We start from the raw sequence: 18,415 nt of genomic DNA, 5'->3' as shown, positions 1-18,415 counted from the left end.
CAACCACATGAATGACCCCACAGCTGTGCTGAATTCCTTTGCTTTCTTCTGTTTCTATTGTATCCAGTGACCTCTCTGTGCATCAAATGATAGCACTGATTGAGAACATGTTAATCCAATGTGGCTTCCCCATATATGAATAGTACTTGGTTGTCCTAAATAAAGGAATGGAAAGAGTGCCCCATAAGCTGAGAGATTTTGTCAGGACTCCAATACAAAGTGATTCCTTCTTTTCTGAAAAATAAATAGGGAAGAAAATGTCACTTCATTTTTGCATATGTTATTAATAACTACCCTTTCTTAAAGTGCTTACTACATCTAGATACCATGTTAAATGTTTACCTGATTTCATTTAATACTTAAAAATGCAAACAGGACATATAATTATTATTATTCCTGGCCAGGCGAAGGCCACACCTATAATCCCAGCACTTTGGGAGGTCAAGGTGGTGGGGTGGGGGGGGGGGGGTCACTTGAAGTCAGGAGTTCGAGACCAGCATGGCCAACATGGTGAAACCCTGTCTCTACTAAAAATACAAAAATTAGCCGGACGTGATGGTGCATGCCTGTAGCCCCAGCTATTTGGGAGGCTGAGGCATGAGAATCGCTTGAACCTGGGAAGCGGAGGCTGCAGTGAGCCAAGATTGCACCACTGTGCTCCAGCCTGGGTGACAGAGTGAGATTCTGTCTCAAAAAAGAAAAAAAAATTATTATTATTCCCATATTGCAGAGGGAGAACCTGAGCGTGAAGTCACTTTGCCTAAGGTTACTACCCAGTGGGCGGACAGAGACAGAATGGCACCCAGATCTACAGCATCCAGTGTTGTACTGCCCCCTTCTGGCCATCCTCTAGGTGCTTCCTGAGGCCCCAGGACTTGTGCCCCAGTATACAGTCTGGTGGCCAGCATGGCATCGTGCTCAGCAGAACTTCTCCCTCCTCCTCGCTGTTGTGGTCCAGTCCAAACATCCCAGCCCCAACATTCCCTGGTTCCCCAGCTCTGTGACATCACAGACAGCCTTCTGTCTACTCTGCCAGCTGCAGGTGAGTGGGGCTCACAGTTTAAACCAAAGGGCGGGAGGTGATAATTTTTCTGTACTAAAAGGCACAATGTCCCCACCACTCCTGGACACCTATTCATTTTGCTCCAAGAAGCAATCCCCATCCTTCATTTGCTCTAACCTCACTGTTTCTCTCTCTCTCTGGGTCCCAGTCTCCACCTGTGCTGAATGACCTCCCCCACCCCCGCCCGCAGCGCCAGAAGCCTTCCTGTTTGACCTCATTCATCTTTCTTCTGATCAAAGTGCAATGGGGTCACTAGAGACCTGAAGTTCATACCCACTGGGGACAACCCAAGGGCCCTCTTCTTTGGTTTCTGCTTCCCTCTAGAGGGGGTCACTGGTAGTGCAAGAAGTGCCACACATCCCCTAGGCATCTCCCTACATATTCATCAGCATCAGAACCTTCATCTGTATTTATTAAGCCTTTACGACACACCAGAAAGCTGTGCTAAGCACTTTCCATCATTATTTAATCCTCAGAACTACCTTCTATTGTAGATACTATTATTCTCATCCCCATTTTACAGGTCAGAAAACAGAGATTCAAAGAGGTCATAAATTCTAAATTTCCTAGCTAACAGTAGATCTCCAAGAATTATACCCCCAGAGAATGTGCTTGTAACTGATACACTGCTCTCCCTAAGAGCCTTTTCATTTCTTGAAGAGGGTTCAAAAACTCAAAGCTCTCTGCTGTCAACACTTAGAGGAGAAAGTGGTTCTACTACCCTCTTTCTTGCAAAATTTTCTAGTAAAGATGTGGAGAGAGCATCAGCACGGGGTGTCAACAAACCTGCGCTTCAGATCGCTGCTGATAATACGGACGATCTCCACGGTTTATTTTTAATTGAAAAAAATCAAGGTGCAAAACGTGGTGTATAGTAAGCTATCATTTGCATTAAAAAGAGAGAAAAAGAGAATTTGAATAACTACATTTTCTTGTATATCCATAAGCTGCTTTGGTGGAAGATGCCTGCATTCACTACATGAAACAAAAACTGAATTTATTTCTGGTTAAACAAGGGAGAACTGTGCTTGTATGGCAAAGTCTCTGAACAAAGCTCATGGCTGATGCATAAGGGGCTTTGGGAGGTGTTGAGTTCGTGGACTGGTGGTGTTTCAGAGGCAGCAGTGTTTAGGAATGGTAGACCTTTAGCTATGAAATGTACCTACTGGCATGTGTCTGTTAGAATGGTTACCAAGGGAGTTTCATTAATAGATTAAATGAGTGTCACACAGGTTCTGGGGATTCGTTGTTACCGTGGTTACAGGGCAATCCATCGTCACCTAGGAATGTGGGAGCTTCTCTTTTTAATTCTCATTATCTGCCTTCTGGTCTCCCTCAACTAAAGGTGCAGGAAAGACCCTCCAAGATTGTCCAGATCTTCACCACTGTCATTGGCTTTTCTTGAAAACACAGTTCCATTTTTCCATGTACAGAGATCTGGTTTTCATTTTGAGTATCAGTCTGCCTCATTTCTTCTCATTTTTTCTTTGAATCATTTGTTTCACCATTTGTCAAACCAGAGGCTACATAAAAGCATTCAGCTCTCTGGACAACAGAACCTGAATGATGCAAGACAATGATAATTAAGGCCAGGCACAGTGGCTCACGCCTGTAATCCCAGCACGTTGGGAGGCCAAGGCTGGCAGATCACCTGAGGTCAGGAGTTCGAGACCAGCCTGACCCAACATGGGGAAACCCCATCTCTACTAAAAACTAAAATTAGCCATGCGTGGTGGTGCATGCCTGTAATCCCAGCTACTCGGGAGGCTGAGGCAGGAGAATCGCTTGAACCCAGGAGGCGGAGGTTGCAGTGACCCGAGATCGCACCATTGCACTCCAACCCTGGCAACAAGAGCAAAACTCCATCTCAAAAAAAAAAAAAAAAAAAAAAAGGGACAATGACAATTAAAAGTATTTTCAAAAAGATCTGAAAGCCTCTCTGGAGTCATGCCCCATGATTTCCCTGGCATGACCATCTACCTTAGATAGCCAGGCTGCTTTTTCTTTGGGCTTAGCTATAGATTAACCTCACCTGTGATATTAATCCAGGCACAACGGGAGTGTTAGCAATGGTGCAGACTCCCCTAATTAGCTAAAATAAAACCCGAAGGTTTCTGTGATCCATAATTACTCAAACTAAGGATTTTAAATTGGTCAGGTGTACCCTAGGGTGTGGGCTACATGATTTGCTGTGTCAGTCAAGGTGAGGGGAAAAAAGGCACTTTAAATTGTTCAACTCAGAATCCTCAGAAGTCTGTTTCATCTACTAGTAGTTAAACCCCCAAGAAGGGTTTCATCCCTTCAGACTCTGTGTAAGAAGACATAGTCCACCGTGGGTGCTGGAGAATCATGCACTGGAATGGTCTAAGTATTCATCATGCAGAACAATTAGTCTTAATTATAGTTGGAATAGAAGAGTCTGATCTCCACATAAGAAACAAACCATATCAACAAGCAAGCAGTATAGCTGTTCATTTATATTTATAGACAATGCCCTTTGGGAGTTTAGAGGCAAAATAGGAAAATGTTAAGTGCAAAGTTCTCCTCAGAAAGACTCAGTAGACAGATATGGACAGCTGTCCTTCTGACATGGAACATTAGTTCTTCTAATGGCCTTTCTGCATACAGTAAGTGCAAGTGTTCTCCACAGACTCCAAATTCTTAAAGAACAGAGGAGATTTGGGTCCTGTCTTTATTTCAGGGGCCAGTTGTTTTATCTAGTAGGTCAAAAGATTATCTCGATTTCTAGTTAACATTTTAGGACTCTTGGAAAATGATCAAGATATCTACACTAATGGAATTTCCCATTCCAATTGATTTTTTCTAAATCCTCTATTTTAGATATGAGCTTTTGCATAAAGAAAGGGCTCCTTTTACTTACACTTTTTGTTTGCCCCAGAATGTCCTTTGAAAGTGTCCTGAAGTCTATTAAGTCACCTATTGATTCATCATTTTGTTTGTTATTCTTGAATCTTTGCCCTATCCACCCTTAAGAGAAAATCTTTTAAAATAGTTTCATGTGGCATACTTCCTATTTTTCTTACCCTCTCAAGTCCATGCTTAAAAATATTATGCATAGATAGGTTATTTGAATCTTCTGACCTTTTTCATCCTGCTACTCTTAAACATTTTCCCCATTGTTGAAGGTCAACAATTTTTTTTTTTTTTTTTTTTTGAGTCAGGATCTCCTGTTGCCTGGGCTGGAGTGCAGTGGCATGATTATAGCTCACTGAAGTCTTGATTTCTCAAATTCAAGCAATACTCTCTCCTCAGCCTCTGAGTAACTGGAAGTGCAAGTGCACACCACCATGCCCAGCTAAATTTTAATTTTTAGTAGAGATGAGGTATGTTGTCCAGGCTGGTCTCAAACTCCAAAACTCAAGCAATCTTCCTGTCTCAGCCTCCCAAAGTGCTGGGATTACAGGTGTGAGCCACTGTGCCTGGCCTAAAGGTCAACAACGAAATGAACTAATTGGTACAAATATGATAGTCCAAGACAATAAGTAACGAACAGAATCCTGAATTACACAGGATATACAAAACAAACTTTCTTTTGTTCTGAAATTTGGGAAGATTCTATTTTTACCCAACTCAACTCTTACTCAGAGTTTAAATTCGGCCTCTCTTGATCTACCTTCAGTGCAGAAGTTTTAGGTGGGTGTTGTGCAATGTGATTGTTCTTCTCTAGAAAAATGCTCCCTGAAAAAGTTTATTTGGGCAGCCAGGGGAAGGAGTAAGAGGAGTATACGTGGGTAGTAAAGATCAAGTTGGGTGGAGAGAGAAAGACAGAAGCAAAGAAAACAGGTGTCAGAAGGTTTGAGTAAGAGTAAGGTCTTTTTTATCTTTTTCTTCCTGAGGCCATAGCATTCCAGACAAAGAAGCCTTCTATTTATGTTTGGCATTTTTGTCTTCTCTCTTCTCTAGAGCTCCTCTTAAATCTGATTTTTGACATCAAAACTTTGTCATCATGGCTACAGTAATCCTAAGTCATCTAGTGAACTTTTGCCATTTATTAAGACAAATACATGAGAGTACCTATAGTGAGAGTATATATACGGAGTTTTTCCAGGAAGAGGCAACAACCTTAATGCAGATGAGACCACGACAAGCAGGAAAGAGCACGCTACAATTGATAAACAGTTTCTACTTGTGCAGTGTCTTGAATTTCTTGACCAAGCAGAGCCTAAAAGAGGCCACATGATCAAAAACCTGAAAATTACTGACTCCCGAATATAAGCTAAAAAAAAAAAGTGACCTTCTTTTATGATTTACCAAGACAGAACACATGCTGACAAAGGTTTAGAGGGACCCAAGTCCAGGTTTTAGCAATTTCTTCTAGACAAATCAATTACCACTCCAGTAAAACTCCAGACACTCAGGGCTGACTCATGGTGGGGGCTTGTCAGAGCTATGCTTCCATTCCTTTCTTATGAAGTGCATCCTTCTACATTCAACATACACAAGGCAGTCTGGAACAAAGCCAAACCCCGTGAGGCAAGCATTTTTATAAGTGGATGAAGACAACTGAAACTAAAGCAAGTAGCAGAATACGAAGCAGATTAATGGCAAGGATATTTGCTAAATGGTGTATCTCCAAAACAAAAGATCTAACTGCCTGTATAAATTTCTATTTCTTTATAAATTATAGGAAAATGAAATAAATCCACTAAAGAGAACTCAATGAAATACATCAGAGCTAAAATCATGTTAAAAAAAAAAAATCCCATGACACTGACACTAGGTCTAGGGAAAAACAAAAAAACAAACAAACAAACAAAAACACCTCACCTGGCAGCAGATCCAAAAGACTATTGGAGATTGGAGCTAAATGGACCTAGTGAGTGCCCCCACTTTGACCAAAAAATCCACACAATGGTGACATCTGTATGTGTCTAGCCCGCATCGTATCTAACCACAAGGAACAGCTTATGTGCAGAAAGTTAAAAATCAGTTAGTGGAAGGGAGGAAGGAGATCTGTTTGGCATAGTTTTTTTCCAACAGTCAGAGAAGGTTCATGTGTTTATTCAACAAATATGTATAAAGTACCTATTCTGTGCCCATCCCTGGGCTGAGTGCTGAGGATACAAAAGTGAATAAAGGCCAGGCGCGGTGGCTCACGCCTGGAATCCCAGCACTTTGGGAGGCCGAGATGGGCAGATCACTAGGTCAGGAGATCGAGACCATCCTGGCTAACACAGTGAAACCCCGTCTCTACTAAAAATACAAAAAATTAGCCAGGCGTGGTGGCAGGTGCCTGTAGTCCCAGCTACTCGGGAGGCTGAGGCAGGAGAATGGCGTGAACCCGGGAGGCGGAGCACGAAGTGAGACAAGATTGCGCCACTGTACTCCAGCCTGGGCAACAGAGCGCGACTCCATCTCAAAAAAAAAAAAAAGTGAATAAAATACTGTCCCTGCTTCCATGGACATTTGTCTATCCTGTGTCTTGTTCACTGCTATATCTCCAGCACCTAACAGTACCTGGAACATGGCAGGTTTTCAGTAAATACATGTGAAATAAATGAAGAAAAAAAAAAGAAAAAAGCTTGGCTGGGCTCAGTGTCTCAAGCCTATAACCCAGCACTTTTGGAGGCTGAGGCAGGAGATCTCTTGAGCTAAGGAATTCGAGATAAGCCTGGGCAATACGGCAAAATCCCATCTCTACCAAAACAAAAACAAAAAAACTATAACCGGGCATGGTAGTGCGAGCCTGTAGTCCAAGCTACTCAGGAGGCTGAGGCAGGGAAATCGCTTGCACCTGGGAGGATGAGGCTGGAGTGAGCCCTGATGGTGCCACTACAGTCCAGCACGGGTGTCAGAGTGAGACCCTGTCTCAAAAAATAAAAAAAGAAAAGAAAAAGAAAAAGGAAAAAGCTCATGAACTAGTATCCAGACTGTCAACAAGAGGCAGTTACAAGACAACGTTTCAACAAGTGTTTATTAAGCATTTACCATGAGTTAGGCAGTCACTGTACAATAACAGGCTGTGTACAGGAAAACATGGTGGGCCAGCAGGGGAGTGCTGTGGGAGCACAAGGGAGGGACTCCTAACTTATCCCATGCCTTCCTGTAGCCCCTGAGCTGAATCCTGGAGTTTGATGACTCAAGGATTGAGGTGAGAACATCCCAGGTAGAGGGAACAGGATGTGAACAGGGTCCATTCAGTAAAAGGTGATTGGGGAAGCTGCCTATACAGCATCTCTTATGGCTGTAGGGCGGTGAGTGCAACCCAGAGAAGATGAGGATGAAGAGAATAACAGTGGTGATCACAAAAGGAGTTGGATCTGCAGACTTGGGGACCCCCTTGGTGGGGCAGAGGGTTGTTGGGGCAGAAGAGAGATAGGATTTACATGTCTACCAGATAACTCTAGCTTTAGGTGGAGGCAAACAAACCAATGAGAAAGTTTAAGCAGTGGTCCAGGTGAGAAGTGATGGTGGCTTACACTACGGTGAAGGAAATGGCAAAGGATTGGCTGGGCAGACAGACTGAAGAGATATTTGGAAAGTAAAGTTCAAAGACTGATGAACACGAGCAGATGGCAGGAGGCTGGCAGGCTTCTGACTCTAGAGACAGAGTGAATAATAGGATCATCCCACGAAATAGGGAACATGGGAAGAAGATAGATATGCTTTGCAGTGGACAGGGAAGAAAAATAGTCCCAACCAGTAAACAGAGAGCAGAACTAAAATTGACTCATGAAACCATCAGAGTAAGCTTAGCATGTGAATGAGGTAAGCTGTGTCCTACAGCTTGTGATGTTCCTGGCACAAAAACTACCACCCACCTCTCTACTGCCCCCAGGGCCTGCAAGTGCTTTTACTCAAGACAAGAATAAATGCTAGTTTATTCTACAAACACCCTCAATTTTTATTCTACAAACAATTATTGACTTCCCACACTGCACTAGGTACTGCTCTAGACACTGAGAATAGAGCAGTAAACCAAACAGCTAAAATCCATGACCTCATGTGACTTCTAATTTAGTGGGAAGAAGCAGACCTTCAACACAGTAATTTAGCAAATTATGTAGAGTGTTAGGAAATGAAGCTGGGCACGGTGACTCACACCTGTAACCCCAGCACTTTGGGAGGCCAACATGGGAGGATCACTTGATTTCAAGACCAGCCTGAGCAATACAGTGAGACCCCTTCTCTTAAAAAAAAAAAAAAAAAAGAATTTGCTGGACATGGTGGCATGCACCTGTAGTCCCAGCTACTCAGGAGGCTGAGGCAGGAGGAGCCCAGAAGTTCAAGGCTGCAGTGAACCATGATTGTGCCACTGCACTCCAGCCTGAGCATAGAGCTAGACCCTGTCAAGAAAGAGAGTGAGAGCAAGAGAGAAGGAAAGAAGGAAGGAAGGAAGGAAGGAAGGAAGGAAGGAAGGAAGGAAGGAAGGAAGGAAGGAAGGAAGGAAAGAAAAAGAGAAAAGAGAAAAAAAGAAAGAAAAGAAAAAAAGAAGAAAAAGAGAGAAAGAAAGAAGAAAAAAGAAAGAGAAAATGTTTGAAAAGTAAACAAGGAAGAGATTAGGAAGTGCTGGGGTGCTGGGCAAGGGGGTTATAATGTTAAATACAACAGAGAAAGTCTCACTAGAAAAGGTGAAGCAAAGACTTGAAGGTAATGACAGAATGTTGTTATCTAAGAGAACTGAATTCCAGGCAGAGAGTAAAACAAGCACAAATTGTTGAGTTGGGAGCTTGCTGTGTTTTAAAACTCAGCAGGGGGGGCAAATGGAATTGGGGAATTGGAGGAATTGAAGACAGAGTTGGTGATGAGGGTTGTGGGTGGACAGGAGGGAAGAAGGATGATTAGATTACAGAGTATCTTAAGACCCAGGTGAGAACTTTGGTTTTTCTTCTGAGGAATATGCAAAACCACTGAATTTTGGAGAAAAGAAAGAGAAAAAATCTTTCTGGCCAGGCGCGGTGACTCACTCCTGTAATCCCAGCACCTTTTGAGGCCAATGTGGGAGGATCACTTGAGCCCAGGAGTTCAAGGCCAGCCTGGGCTATATAGGGAGACCACGTCTCTACAAAAAATACAAAAGTTAGCCAGGTGTGGTGGTGCACACCTGTAGTCCCAGCTACTGGGGAGGCTGAAGCAGGAGGATCACTTGAGCCCAGGAGTTTGAGGCTGCAGTGAGCTGTGATCACGCCACTGTACTCCAGCCTGGGTGACAGAGTAAAACTCTGTCTCAAAAAAAAAAAAAAGTTTGCATTTACCCCCACATATTTGCTATTTCTTATCCTATTCATCCCTTTCTGTAAATGTGAATTTCCATCTGGTATCATTTTCCTTCGATCTTAGCATTTTTTACAGCCTGGGCCTTCTAAAGACAAATTCTCTCTATTTTTGTTTATCTTATAATGTCTTCATTTTGCCTTAATTATTGAAGGATATTTTCATGGAATATGAAGTGAAAGGTTTACAGTTTCTTTCTTTCATGTTTATTTATTCCAGTTGTTTTAAGAGCCTGTTCTTTACTTTTTAGCCATTTGACTAAAATGTGCCTAGGTGTGATTTTCTTTTCTTTTCTTTTTTTTTTTTTGAGACAGAGTTTTATTCTTCTTGCCCAGGCTGGAGTGCAATGGCGTGATCTCGGCTCACCACAACCTCCGCCTCCAGGGTTCAAGCGATTCTCCTGCCTCAGCCTCCTGAGTAGCTGGGATTACAGGCATGTGCCACACACCCAGCTAGTTTTGTATTTTTAGCAGAGACGGGGTTTCTCCATGTTGGTCAGGCTGGTCTCGAACTCCTGACCTCAGGTGATCTGCCAGCCTCGGCCTCCCAAAGTGCTGAGATTACAGGCATGAGCCACCGCGCCCGGTCGTTGTGATTTTTTGTTTTTCATGTTTGGTGCTCACTGAATACTTATGTTGATGCTTTCCATCAAATTTAGTAACTTTTCAGCCACTATTGCCAAATATTTTTTCTGCCCTTCGTCCTTCTGAGAGTCCAGTAACGCGCGTATGTTATACAGCTTGGTAGCATCCCGCAAGGTCAGTGGGGTACTCTTCATCCTTTTAAAATCTTTTTTGCTTTCCCTGTTTCAGTTTGGATAATTTCTATTGACCTTTTCGCAAGTTTACTGATCATTGCTTTTGCTTTGTCCAATCTGTTGTTAACCCTACCCAATACATATTTTCTTCAGATACTGGTTTTTATAGAACTAGAATTTCTATTTGATTCTATTTGAGTTTCCATTTCTTCCTTCCATATTATATCGCTCCATCTACTATACCCATTTTTTCCTATCCTTGGAAGTTTTGAGCTGAAGAGTGACATGATATATTTTAACAGAACTACCCCAACTTTTGTATTAATTATGGAGGAAGTTCAGGGTAAGAGAAATAAGGAGACCAGTCAGGAAGCTATCGCAGGAATTCAGGCAAGAGATGATGGTGGCTTAGGCCAGGGTATGGCAGTAGAGAAAATGGGACTCAAGTGCCTATAATGAAGGCAAAACTCACAAAGCGAAGTGAATTAGGTATTGTGAGGGACGCCTAAACAATACCATGATAAGAATTTCCTTTTAAAGAGGGTTTTGCCACAAGAAGGGGAGTGAGAACAGAATGTATCCAGAGATCTAAAAACTTGATACACAAATAAAGGGATCTGGGACTAAAGCAAGGCCTTATAATCCTGGACCTTCAAAACTAGAAAGATCCTTGAGGAGATCATCCAGCCTAACTTCTTACTACTGACGAGGAGCCTGAGACACAGAAAAAAGCATGGACCTACCCAAAGCCCTCCAGCAAATTAGTGGCAAAACCAGAATTTAAACCTACAAGTCCATATGCTTCCTTTCCATAGGACCTGGACCAGCTGGGATCATTGGAAGCCAGTGAGCTACATAAAGAGAAGGGAGGAAAATGGAATGACCATTGATTGAGCACTTACCATATACCTAGCTTCACAGGAGCTACTTTTCATATATATGAGTCTTTACTCCTGCAAAGTAGGCACTGCTATTCTCATTTTTCAAGTGATAAAAGTGAAGTTCAAAAAGGGTAAAGAATCCACCTAAGAACATGCACCTGTTCATGGGGTAGGACACAGAGCTATCTGAAACCTGAGCATGTTTATGTGCATGTCTGCATGAGGTGGGATTTTGCTGTCATTAGATCCTATCTGGAGTGTGAACACAGGTGAAGGACTAGCATTTTTCAGCCACGGTCTTATGTTTACTTAGGAAACAGCCCAGCCCAGTGAACTGGGCTCAAACTCAAGACTGGCTGATTCAACAAGGCACCCCTGCAGACAAAGCTGGCAGAGTAGAAGTTTCAACTCCTTTCCATGGGTAAGAAAACTTTGTACAGAATAGGAAAAAATGGCCTAGGCAGAAGGATCTGCTGGCCATGGGAAGCTACAGAAGATTTGGGAGAGGGGAGGAGTATTATATTAATGCCTTGGGAGAGGCTGACCCAATGATACCCCCACCACAGTCAATTTCCAATAGGCATCTGGAATTCAGATTCCGGAACCCATGCCCCTCATTCCTTTGCCTCCAACAGCAGCCCACCAAAACCTGATCTTGAAGATCTTCTGTTTATGCTGCAGGGACTGTCAGGAGCCCTATGCCATCAATGACTCCAAGGTTCCCAGTCAAACCCAGGAGCACAAGCCATCGACCCAAAGTAGGTATCAGATAAGGACACTCTGCATGGCCTCTCTAAACCTCACTTTGCTCACTCTCTGCCTGCTGGGATACCCCCAAACTGCCTTCATCACTATCACTGAGTGATAATTCCAATTTAAAATGAGGTGGGTGTTGGATGGCTAAGTACTCAAACCAATAAACAAGAGAGCTTAAACTCTTGTGCTTAAAGTGTAGTCTATGGGCCAGCAATATTGGCATCACTTGGGAGCTTGTTAGAAATGCATTTTCAGACCCCGCTCTGGAACTACTGAATCAGAACTGGCACTTTAACAGGATCTCCAGGTAAATTTGAATGTACATGATAGTTTGAGAAGCACTGGATTAAAGACTATAAAAATAGTGGTTAAGATCCCTGTTTTGGGGGCAATACATGTTAGTTCAAACCTCAGCTCTGCCACAGAAATTGGGCAAGTCTCTTGACCTCCCTGAGTCTCACTGTCCTTGCCTCTAAAACAGGGATATTCACAATACATTATTATTGTGAGGCAATATAAATAAGCATCTAGCTCAGGGTCTGGCACAGAGTAGGCACTCAACATGCAGAAAAAATATATAGGTATTGATCAGGATAGAGTATGTTCTGCTGCTGAAACAAATAAGCCTTGAAATCTCAATGGTTTACAAAATAAAAATGTATTTCTTGCTTGCACAAAGTCTAGTACAAACCAGCCACCCCCCTTTAAATCTTTAGCCAGAGCCTCTGGAATATGAGACTTCCTAGGCTACCATGTCAAGGGAAGAGAGAGAGACAGAGAAGTCACCCTGGCCTTCAGTTTGTAATCAAAACCTTCTTGAAGATCCATGAAAAGAGATCAAGCAGAGAAGATCAGGGATCAAAATCAACAATTTCAGACAGAAAAAAAAAAAGAAGCACTATTGTCAAAATCAGCCAAAGTTAGGACTCACACAGGTGGGAGGGGGTGAGCACAGATGGCCAGGAACGTGGCAGAGTCCCACTGAGAGACAGGATAATACAATGATGTATTTTGACAGAAATCCACATGTGAGGGTCTTTAAAATACTTTCCCTGGAAGTAGAGTCACAATAAAAATCAGGAACCTTAAAAATATCAATGCCTTTTCCCAAGGTAAGAATGATGATAATTAATGAAACTCTATAATATGCAAAGCACTGTCTAGACACTGGGGACCCAGCTGTGATCAGATAAATCCCTTACTGTTTCAGAGTGTATATTTCATATTTAACAGTAAAATGATATTATTTAATCCCCATGATAACTCTAAGAAGCAGACATTAGTATTCAAATTGAGCATAGCATTTTGCAGATATGAATGAAGAGGCAGGTGGGGGTTAAGCAATTAGTTAAGGCATGCAGCTAATAAATGACAGAGCTGCCTATCACAGAACACAGCTCAGACTATTGACAAAATTCTTTGTTGTTCTTCTAGAAACCTAGAAGTGTATAAAGACAAAGTCTCATATACAACAATGTTCATCACAACAGTATTTATGGTAGCAAAATCTGGGCCGGGCACAGTGGCTCACACCTATAATCCCAGCACTTTGAGGGGCAGGAGGATAACTTGAGCCCAGGAGTTCAAGACCAGCCTGGGCAACATGGGAAGATCCCACCTCTACAAATAATAAAAAATTAGCCAGACTGGGCATGGTGGTTCATGTCTTTAATCCCAGCACTTTGGGAGGCCAAGGCAGGTGGATCACCTGAGGTTGGGAGTTTGAGACCAGCCTGACCAACATGGAGAAACCCCGTCTCTATTAAAAATACAAAACTAGCCAGGCATGGTGGCACATGTCTGTAATCCCAGCTATTCAGGAGGCTGAGGCAGGAGAATCGCTTGAACCCGAGAGGTGGAGGTTGCGGTGAGCCGAGATCGTGCCATCGCACTCCAGCCTGGGCAACAAGAGCGAAACTCTATCTCAAAAAAAAAAAAATTAGCCAGCCATGGTGGTGCACACCTGTAATTTCAGCTACTAAGGAGGCTGAGGTGGGATGATCACTTGAGCCCAGGAGGTCGAGGCTGCAGTAAGTCATGATTGCACCACTGCACTCCAGCCTAGGTACCAGAGTGAGATTCTCTCAAAAAAATAAATAAATAAATAAATAATACAACATTGGAACTTTGGTTAAATAAATCTTACATTATTCAAAAACTAGAATACTGTACAACCATTTTTTAAATTTAGTGACATGAGAAAAATATTTATGCCATAATGTATATGAATAAAGTCAAATGCAGGGCTGGGTGAGATGGCTCACAACTGTGATCCTAGCACTTCGGGAGGCTGAGGCTAAAGGATTACTTGAGGCCAGGAGTTCAAGACCAGCCTGGCAACATAGTGAGACTCCCGCTCCCTACAAAAAAAAATTTAAAAATTAGCTGGGCGCAGTGACACATGCCTGTAGTCCTAGCTACTCGGGGGGCTGAGGCAGGAGGATTGCTTGAGCCTAGGAGTTTGAGGTTACAGGGAGCTATGATCACACCATTGCACTCCAGCCTGGGCAACAGAGCAGATCCCTGTCTCAAAAAATAAATAAATAGATAAGTAAAATTCATCCATAATACATAGGATATGATGGACTATGTAAAATATGCATAGGAAAAGACTGGAACTGTGATAATAACTTGGGGAAGAGATGTTTGGGGCACTTTTTCCTCCCTTATACTATTCAATATTTCCTAACTTTTCTATAAAGCGTATGCATTACATTTATAAATGGAAAAAAGTTAATGTTTTAAAAAGAATACATACTTTGCCCTGAATTGATCATTACACATTCTATGCATGTAACAAAATTTCATATGTAGCCCATAAATACATACAAATACAATGTATTATTTTAAAATACACACTTTGAATCCAGCACCTGCTTGTGAGGGGAAGCCCTCAGAGGACAGGAGGTGGTAGTTTCAGGTACACCCCCACCCCATAATAACCCCCACTTGCCTGTGTGCGCTGCTTCAGAGCTTGCAAAACATCTTCACTTCCGTGATCTCACCTAAGCCTCCCCCACGTGACCCTGTGGAATTCTCATTGCCAGATTTGCTGCTTCAGAAGGATGAGCTTGACAGACAAAATCCCAAGCGCATTAACGCAGTCTCCCATTTGCCTTCGAGAACACCCCTGATCCAGACAAAAAAGAGCACTTCCTCCAGCAGCAGTGAGTTTGAGGGTGAGTCCCAAATTGGGGTCCTAACACTGACCAGAAACTCCCAGACAGGGAGCCTGGTCCTAATAACCAGACCCCATTGATACTTCAGCTAAGCGAGATGGGGAGATGGAATTGCTCCCATCAAGCAGCCCCAGTCATATTCCAGAGCACACTGGGGAGACCCTAGAGGCTAAGACCTGACTCCACTATCTTCCAAGCTAGGAAGTGCATGAGAAGGAGCAGGTCTGGGGGGAAGGGCAAACATCCATGCTTTCCTTTCAAAGCTTTGTGGCATCATCTTTTTTTTTTTTTTTTTTTTTTGAGATGGAGTCTCCCTCTGTTGTCTAGGCTTGAGTGCAGTGGTGCAGTCTCCAATCTCAGCTCACTGCAACTTCCACCTCCCAGGTTCAAGTGATTCTCCTGTCTCAGCTTCCTGAGTAGCTGAGATTACAGGCGCCCACCAACATGCCTGGTTAATTTTTGTATTCTTAGTAGAAAAAGGGTTTCACCATGTTGGCCAGGCTGGTCACGAACTCCTGACCTCAAGTGATCCACCTACCTTGGCCTCCCAAAGTGCTGGGATTACAGGTGTAACCACCGCACCTGGCGGCATCATCTTACACGTGTATTTTTCATATGCTTACTTGATGTCTACTTTGGCCACTAGACAGTAAGTGCCAGGAGGGCAGGGGCCCACATCAGTTTTATTCCCTGTTATGCCCCCAGATCCAGCCAGGTGCATGGCAAGTAAACAATGCCAGAAAACACTTGTGGATTGAGTGTAGTTCAACTGGGGGTGAAATGCCTCTGGGTCACAGAAGAACAGATGCCCAATCCCAGGACAGTGGCACAGCCCAGGAAGAAGAAATGCAGCCACATTGCTGGGCGCCAGTTCTATCCCCAGGTGGTCTCACATAACTCACAACCACCCCAGGAGTCCTGTTGAGAACTAAGGATTATCCAACCCAGTCATTTTGAATTCCCCTAACAACTAAACCCCCTTGAAAACAGCATTTCACAGAGTCCATTTTCTATAAAAGATCAAAGAGGAACAGCTCTGCTTGAATCAAGCTTGAGAAGGTAGGAACCCCACTAGCTCGCCCACTCCTTCCTTCTGCCCTTCCCACCCCCCCATAGGGGTGAGGCTCACAGAGGGAAAGGGACTTCCCACGAGTGCACTAGGGAATGACGTAAGTGTCAGAGCCAGGATGGGCCCAAGTCTCCTACCTTCCATATCACTGTGCTTTGCAAGACAGCCTACTGTCACTGAAGCCACCAACGTAACACAATGCAAAATACACTGCAAGAAACTCCTCCTATCACAAAAGACTTCCAAGTCCTAGACTAGGGTCTGCCTTGGGTCCCTTGAGATTCAAGAAGCTGAGGAATGATCAGCAATGGATACAAACAACCAAAACAGTTCATCAAAGCCCAATTCAAAGGCCTTCACCCAGCATAATTTTTTCCTTTCTTCTTTCAGATCTGAATGCATATGCTTCCCAAAGAAATTTTTACAAGAGAAACTTAAACCGCTACTGCCAGGAGCACTGGCCATTCCAGCCATGCCTCACTGGGAGGCCCTGAGCATTCTAGCCGGCGGCTGCACAGCTGCTGGGGCATCTCCATGAGGAAGAGGGCGGTGGACAGGAGTCATGAAGACTAATTCGGAAACTCCCCTGAAGGAGGAGAAGACATCTGAGCCATCCTTGTGCCACCAAGCAAGAGTCACTCCAGCTCCTAAAAAGCCACCATGGGAAGAGCTGCCTCCAATTAAAGTTCTTGATTGCACCAGAGGATGTGTCCTTCTCTTTTCCTTTCCCCCTTACCAACTAATGTCTTATTATTTTTAAATATATTGTCACATCTAACTAAGCTTAAAAAATTTAGCCTATTGGCTGGGCGCAGTGGCTCACGCCTGTAATCCCAACACTTTGGGAGACCGAGGCAGGTGGATCACATGAGGTCATAAGTTCAAGACCAGCCTGGCCAATGCGGTGAAACCCCATCTGTGCTAAAAATAAAAAAATCTGCCAGGTGTGGTGGCGTGCTCCTGTAATCTCAGCTACTAGGGAGGCTGAGGCAGGAGAATCACTTGAACCCAGGAGGCAGAGGTTGCAATGAGCTGAGATCTCGCCGCTGCACTCCAGCCTGGGTAACAGAGTGAGACTCCGTGAAAGAAAGAAAGGAAGGGAAGGGGGAAGGGGGAAGGGAAGAAAGAAAAAAGAGAGAGAGAGGAAGGAGAAAACAGCTTTTTGGATACCTTCTGAAATAATTCCAAATTTACAGAAATGTCACAAGAATAATACAGAGAACTCCCATTTACCTTTTACCCAGAGTCACCAATTGTTTAATCTACATTTTCCCCATTTGCACCATTTCAGCTCACTGCAACCTCCGCCTCCTGAGTTCAAGTGATTGAACTCAGTTCAATCCTGCCTCAGCCTCCCGAGTAGCTGGGATTACAAGTGCCTGCCACCAGGCCTGGCTAATTTTTGTATTTTTAGTAGAGATGGGGTTTCACCATGTTGGCCAGGCTGGTCTCGAACTCCTGACCTCAGGTGATCCGCCCTCCTCAACCTCCCAAAGTGCGGGATTACAGGCGTGAGCCACTGTGCCAGGCCAAGGTATATCTTTATTAACAGCATGAGAACGGATTAATACGGTGTATCTTTAGGGTTAATTTTTCAGCATGGACTTTTGAGCCAAATGGAAAAGATATATACAGTTTTGTTAGATGCTGCCAAGTTCTGTTCTGTAAGAGTATATGATATCTGAGATACCTGTTTCCTCATGCCCTCAGCAACTGTTTAGGCTCTCCCAATCCTACAGGTGAGAAACGGTATCTCATTTTGGTTTTAACCTGCATTTCCCTTACCATGAGTGAAGACTAACATCTATTCATATGTTTAAGGGTCATTTTTATATGTTTTTATTAATGATCTGTTTATGTCTTCCACTCTTTTTTCTTTTTCCTGTTTCCTGTTAATTTTTGAGTGCTCTTTATATACTAGAAATACTAGCTCCTCAAAGTCAAGTTTATTAATGTTTCATTGAATCTGGACTTTGGGTTGTCGTTAGCCTTTCCCTACATCCAGTTTATAGAGGAATTCACCCACACTTCTTCGTTTGCTTGTATAGCATTATACATCAGAAATATAACCTATTCCATTTGGCATTTATTATTATGTATTTAGGAAGTATGGATCTAACTTTACACTTTCTCCAAATGATTATATAGTCATTTCAGCATATTTATTAAGGAGAATATCTTTGGTCCAATCATCCATCTGAGATGACACCTTTATTATCATACACTAAATTTTCATATATATTTGTGTCTCTTTCTGAACTTTCTATTCTACTCCACTGGGGAGTCTGCCTGTTTTTTTGTTTGTTTGTTTGTTTGTTTGTTTGTTTGTTTGTTTTTTGAGACGGAGTCTCACTGTCGCCCAATGCCTGTTTTATTCTTGCTTGTTTTTTCATGTAAATGTTAGGATCAATTTGTCTAGCTTCAGAAAAAATCTTGATGTTATTTTCATCATGATTGTGCTAAATTTACAAATTA

At 43.0% G+C, this 18,415-nt stretch overlaps 1 protein-coding gene across 6 annotated transcripts; it reads left to right on the top strand.

Annotated features, from left to right (window-relative positions):
• Nucleotides 1-884: 884 nt before the first annotated feature.
• Nucleotides 885-16,643, top strand: TEX48 (testis expressed 48). 6 transcript variants are annotated; one of them, NR_163989.1, is made up of 6 exons: nucleotides 885-1,042; nucleotides 1,212-1,918; nucleotides 11,250-11,357; nucleotides 11,618-11,694; nucleotides 14,740-14,871; nucleotides 16,331-16,643. NR_163989.1 is itself a non-coding variant. In NM_001371884.1 (5 exons), the coding sequence occupies exons 2-5, from the start codon at nucleotides 11,354-11,356 to the stop codon at nucleotides 16,432-16,434; spliced, it is 360 nt and encodes a 119-aa protein (NP_001358813.1). In that variant the 5' UTR covers nucleotides 885-1,042; nucleotides 11,250-11,353; the 3' UTR covers nucleotides 16,435-16,643. The 6 variants fall into 6 exon arrangements, 2 of the variants coding, with proteins under 2 accessions (NP_001358813.1, NP_001186162.1); NR_144867.2 differs by lacking the exon at nucleotides 1,212-1,918; NR_163988.1 differs by lacking the exon at nucleotides 1,212-1,918 and having other exon boundaries at nucleotides 11,618-11,821.
• The last annotated feature ends 1,772 nt before the right edge of the window (nucleotides 16,644-18,415 follow it).

The sequence above is a fragment of the Homo sapiens genome, chromosome 9 (assembly GCF_000001405.40).
Source record: "Homo sapiens chromosome 9, GRCh38.p14 Primary Assembly".
NCBI classification, from domain to species: domain Eukaryota; kingdom Metazoa; phylum Chordata; class Mammalia; order Primates; family Hominidae; genus Homo; species Homo sapiens.
This window is presented reverse-complemented; position numbering and strand designations above follow the sequence as displayed.

What these genes read in the sequence shown, in the direction of transcription:
- TEX48 (NM_001199233.2), top strand. An exon ending in GCACAAGCCATCGACCCAAA is followed by an intron (nt 11,695 to 14,739) that starts GTAGGTATCAGA and finishes TCTCATTGCCAG; the next exon opens with ATTTGCTGCTTCAGAAGGAT. An exon ending in CAGCAGCAGTGAGTTTGAGG is followed by an intron (nt 14,872 to 16,330) that starts GTGAGTCCCAAA and finishes TTCTTCTTTCAG; the next exon opens with ATCTGAATGCATATGCTTCC.